Here is a 6,000-nt window from a genome sequence, read left to right as displayed (position 1 = left end):
TAAGTGTTGTGGGACCAAAAGAGAAAACACGTAAGATCGCTTCATTTTGTTTGTGTTGTCCGAAATGGTTTTCTACTAAAGGAGACATGAACATTCTACAGTAGCTGGTAGTTTAAATTTCAAAACAGATAACTATAAATATTACCTCATGTTACCTGACAGGAAGATTATAGTAACTGTCTCTGGGTAAATCACTAAAATAGACATTGGACTTTTTTTTTTTTTTCAATTTTACGGTGTCCATCAATAAAACCGAAGTCACACTGCAAATGGGCCTACTACTCCATGTTTATTAGGGAATACTATTGTTGACTTCCTGATGTTTTAAAAACACAGGTAGACCCCTTTGGATTAACAGAGAGTTTCCTTATAAATACATAGATATGAGAGTGAGACACAAAGAGGTACAGAAAGAAACAGAGAAAGAGTCTCACTCTGTTGCCCAGGTTGGAGGGCAGTGGTACCATCTCAGCTCACTGCAGCCTCCGCCTCCCAGCTTCAAGCAATTCTTGGGCCTCAGCCTCCTGAGTAGATGGGATTACAGGCATGCACCACAATGCCCAGCTAATTTTTCTATTTTTAGTAGCGACAGGGTTTCACCATGTTGCCTAAGCTGGTCTCTAACTCCTAAATTCTAGAGATCCACCCACGTCAGCTTCCCAAAGTGCTGGGATTACAGGTGTGAGTCACTGTACCTGGCCTAAATGCCAAATATTATACATTTTTTTAATCTAGGGTTTGAGAGGACAGACAATGTAATAATATTTGTTCTGTGTGTCAGTTTGCCCCTCACACTGCAAATTCTAGCTGCCAAGTTCATTGCCATCTGCTCCCAAATCACCACCCACAAGAAGCCCAAAAAGTTATTTAATGTGATTTCACAGCCCATATCCTCATGACTAAGAAAATGTTGGCTGTGACACTATTGACTGTGTTCATACCTGCCTTAAATAGCAGACATAGATTACTGACCTAATCAATTGGATGGAAATCCCCATTATATTGGCAGGAAAACAAAACTATTTTGTTTAAATTTCAAAACAGATAACTATAAATATTATCTCATGTTACCTGACAGGAAGACCACAGTAACTGTCTATGTTATCTAAACTATCTAAAAATTAGATAATATTTTAGTAGAGTATCTTGAGGTCAATTTAGATATGGCCTGAGAGTAAAAACATGGCTACTTGGACATTGAGGCTGTTCTCGTGAAAACATTTCAGAGCACTGCCTCTTTTTCTAATATATTTGACAGTGTAAGTAAGAGTCAGAATTATTTTCTTTCTATTTTTTAAGTGGTTTTTAATCTTTTGTTGCTCAAATTTCAATTTAGTAAATTATCGATATGACCTGTGCAATAAAGTTTGTATGTAATCCCAGTGCAGTGGCAATCAAGGTAGCCTGGCAGTCTGTCTTTCTACAGTAATTTACCATTTCTCTGCATTTTCCACACTGTGACTTGTGCTGCATTACAGGAGCTGCTGAAGCCAGCTGGATCCTTTGTCTTCCCTTGACTTCTGGCCAGCCTCCATTCATATTGCTGCTACCAGAAGATTAAAAAAAAAACTCATAGGTTTAAACAGTCTATAAAACTATGATAGAAAATTATACTTGAGGTATTATTTATCAGCTAGCTCCTAGGAAGCTTCTAACATGTTCTGAACATGCGAAGCACATCATGGAAAACAAAAATGTACATAGCCAAGTTCTTGCCCTCATGGAAGGTTCAATAGAATTGATGATTTGAGGAAATAACCCCAATTTATTATGCATTTGAGCTTCCATAGAAGAGGTGACACATGGTCTGGAGGCCTTCAAGAATTAAATTGCCCACTTGAGGGTGTAAAAATTCAGAGTCTCTCTGAAAAGCTATCATCAACTTTTATCTAAGTTCTGAAAAATGTTCATAGTCTTTGACCAATAATTCCAATTCTAAGAAACAAACAAAAATAAAATAACCTACAATATACAGAAAGAATTATATACAAAGAGGGTCATCATAACACTATTCAGCAGAGTAAAAAGTTATAGCAAGAAATTAAATGTGAAATAACAAATAGGAGAAAAGTTAGATTGCGGCAAATAATATATTTCTGTATATACACCTAGCCTGGATCTTTGCATTAGAAGTATATAAAAATATGAGCTTCAATCATTAGATAATATTTTATAATGTTGTTTTAAATAGCCCCATATTTAGGATCTGGGCAAGGGTGAGGCAAAATAAGTATCTCGGTAGCAACATTTAAGGCAGCGCTCACCCTCTACAGTATTAGCATTTGGACAATGATGAGAGTGAGTCCTTACATTTTGTGACCTGAGCATCTCTCTTGCCTCATCTCAGTTCCAGCCTTGCACAAAGTATTCTGTAGATGTGCCACAATGTTCATAATTGTTGCTCTACTGTTGGGCACTTAGGTCATTGTTAATGTTTTGCTGTTATAAATAACACTATGATGATGTGGAAACAACATTATAGACATTAGATTTTATCATTGCAATACTTTTAAAGTTATAGGGTTTCTTCTTAAAAGGTTTAAGGATTTGATCTATACTGACACATTTCCTCCAGGAAGTTGATAGACATGGAAGTATATATATTCTTCTTCTAGTAGTATATTAGAGTGCTTATATTTTTTACATATTTTAATCTTTGCAATCTGATAGGATAAAAATATGGTTGTTTCCATTTTCATTTTTAGTGTCAGTGACATGAAATATTTAAATGCTTTCTTTTCCACTGTATGTTCATGTGTGCTTATTAGATGCTTATGTTGCTTAGCAATTTTTCTGTCAGTGTCTTTGATTTTCTCTTAAAGATTTGTACATTCTTCACAAATTAAAGCTATATACTCTGCCTCTCAGATATGTTACAAACTTTTTTTTCTTTTGCCATCTAGATTTATTTGCTGTGTTTCACTGTGCTCTATAAATATAGTAAAAAATAATAATAGTTACTACTTTGAGCATTTTGCATCAGGCACTGTTTTCATTCTTTAAGGGTATGTACAATTATTATTATTTTACATTGGATGAAACTGGAGGTACAGAAAGGTTAAGAGGTAAGAGAATATGCCCTAAGTCATTCAACTACTTAGAGGCAGGCCAAATTTCTTATCTAGGAAGTTAGGCGCCTGGTTCTGAACTCTTAAGTGCTACCATACATCATCTCATATGGTAGGATAGACAGTAAGAAAACTACAATTCAGATCTATTGACCATTTATGTTTTACTATCTCTATTGTTTGCTATTTTCTTTTTTTATGGTTTACTCTTCAAATAAGTAGATTAATGATAAATTATATAATCAATGATGTTGGGATATTTGCTATACTCATGCTTTTAAGAAATTAAATGCTTCATCTTATTATATAATAAAGTTTATTCCAGGTGGATTAAAGAGTTAAATGCCAAAAAATTAAATAAATTATGTCTTCTGAGAAAATTACACATTGTATCAACATTATCATTTAATTATATGTATAATTTTTCATAATCTTTTTGTGATCTTTTTATCTGTGGTTATCTGTCTTTTAACAGCACACCTTTCACGTCAATTTGTGAGGAAAACATTAATCTTACTTGTGCCCTATTTGAAAATGACTGACATTGAACAAGGGAAACAATAGCCAACACCATAAACATATTAATTGGTTCAGTTTACACAATCCTGACTGAAAAATTAAAGTTGAGCAAATTTTTCACTAGATGGATGCCAAAAACCATTGCACCCAGAGCAACTGCAGACAAAAGTAGAGCTTTCCATGGAAATTATAAACAAACGATATCAGGAACCTGAAGCGTTTCTTTGAAAAACAGTAACAGAAGATGAAACATGGCTTTACTGGTACAATCCTGGAAAAAAAGCACAATCAAAGCAATGGCTACCAAGAGGTGTAAATGGTCCAGTCATAGCAAAAGTGAACTGGTCATGAGCAAAGCTCACGGCAACAGTTTTTTGGGTTGCTCAAGGCATTTTGCTTGTTGACTTTCTGGAGGGCCAAAGAATGATAACATTTGCTTATTATGAGAGTGTTTTGAGAAAGTTTGCCAAACCTTTAGCAGAAAATGCCCGGGGAAGTTTCACCAGTGTCTTTCTGCACTGTGACAATACTCCTGCTCATTCCTCTCATTAAATGAGGACAATTTTGCAAGAGTTTTGATGGGAAATCATTAGGCATTCACATTATATTCCTGATTTGGCTTGTTCTGACCTCTTTTTGTTTCCTAATCTTAAAAACATCTTCAAAGGGCACCCATTTTTTCTTCAATTAGTAATGTAAAATAGAATACATTGATATGACTAAATTCCTAGGACATCAGTTATTTAGAGACAGACTAAGTGGGTGGTATCATTGCCTATAAAAGTGTCTTGATCTTGATGGAGTTTGTGTTGAAAAATAGTATATGTTTTTAATTTTTATCTTTTAATTCAATTTTCCACAAACTTTATGAAGACCTCCTTGCATACCTTCCATGCTTTCCAATTTTCTGTGTTTTTCACTTTTCATTCAGGCCATCCAGCTAGTGTTTAGCTTAGATTATTTTATTCCTTTAAAAAAATTCAAATAATTAACCCTTGGATTTATATACCACTGGCAGAGTTGCTTAAAGAATCATGAACTATTTCTTAAATAAATCTTGGCTTCTGTTTACCCTGAAACATGTCACACTGAGTTGTACAGATAAGTTGCCGAGCAATTACCAATCAGTATATGTAATTTAGAGCATCTGTCAGTGTTCAAAGCCAATTCTCTATAGGTCTTTCTCATTTCTGTACATCTTTTTAGCATAGGTACAGGGAACCTTTGTTCAGGACCATCTTTTCAAGAATGTTTATACAGCAAACAGCTTTGAAAAATAGAGATAATGTCTCCCTCTGAAACAGCGGTGAGATTTGTTTATTGTGTAGCAAAATAAAGAATATCTCCCTTTAGAACCAAAGTCAGGCAGGTTTCATGGCAGCCCATTATAAAAGATTTGGGTTTGGCTCAGTGTTCTTCAGCTGTGAAGTAAATCCACTGTGTGCACAGCATCCATCTGGCCCACTCTACATCTCCCCAGTAGGACTTGGAGTGCAATGGGAACTGATGCAAACATGGAACTCATAAAGTCCTTTGGGTCTTGCATCTTCTGCCATCATCCATGGAACTCTGATAGGCTAACTTGCTAGTTTGAAGGTAGGATAAAAATCTCAGACTCCTTATAGTTCTTGATCCTGTCTTTATGATTTGTTATTTTATACTTACATTGAAATGGCCTATTTCTTTATATGTCTATTATATCTTAACACAAATGGCATATTTCTCCTGTCTTGAAGTCTATGCATCACTCATTATGCCTCAGCTCCAGTTGCTTTGTACAATTATGAACTTTTCTTTTAGTTATCCTGATGGGCTCCCAAAGTGAAGTTCGTAGCCTTTATTTGACAGCAGACTATCTCATTTGTCCTCAGGATTAGGTGAGAACTCATCCTCAATTTTAACTGTATTGAAATGTGAAAATGTTTTTATTTGCATTGCTCCATAGAACCTCTAAAATTAATTTCAAGGGGTCCACATATTCAATATTTTAAATCAAGTGATCTCAAACATAATCCCATATTTTATTAACATCTATAGAAATGGCTTTGAATGACACAATGAAAAGTTTCTTTTGTTTATAGATTTCTGCCATATTTTGCCTATATTCATTCACTTCTGTGTATATCTTAACCCCTACGTCTTTTTTCTTTTGAACTATTTGTTAATTCATTTGTTGCAAATCTTCATTCCTCATTTTAGTCATAGTATTTCATGGTGTAAATTTGCTTTTAATTGCAGCTTTGACCAGGTTCCATAGATTTTAATATATAGTATCGTCATTATCATTCTTTATATATTTGATAAATTCAGTTTGGTATATTTAATAACCCACAATTTATTTAGAAGGGTATTTAATTTTTAAGTGCTTCATCAATATCAAGAACAAAATCATTTTTGTGATAACCCTTATGAT

General features: G+C 34.3%; 1 long non-coding RNA gene across 1 annotated transcript in view; it reads right to left on the bottom strand.

Moving 5' to 3' along the window:
- Positions 1 to 1,284: 1,284 nt before the first annotated feature.
- Positions 1,285 to 6,000, bottom strand: part of LINC02355 (long intergenic non-protein coding RNA 2355) — a 123,829-nt gene continuing 119,113 nt past the window's right edge. Inside the window, exon 13 of the long non-coding RNA NR_125887.1 lies at positions 1,285 to 1,543. This is a non-coding gene — a long non-coding RNA (long intergenic non-protein coding RNA 2355). The remainder of the gene's footprint in view (positions 1,544 to 6,000) is intronic.

This window comes from Homo sapiens, chromosome 4 (assembly GCF_000001405.40).
Source record: "Homo sapiens chromosome 4, GRCh38.p14 Primary Assembly".
Lineage (NCBI taxonomy): Eukaryota > Metazoa > Chordata > Mammalia > Primates > Hominidae > Homo > Homo sapiens.
The sequence above is the reverse complement of the archived record's forward strand: the minus strand, read 5'-3'. Positions and strand labels throughout refer to the sequence as shown.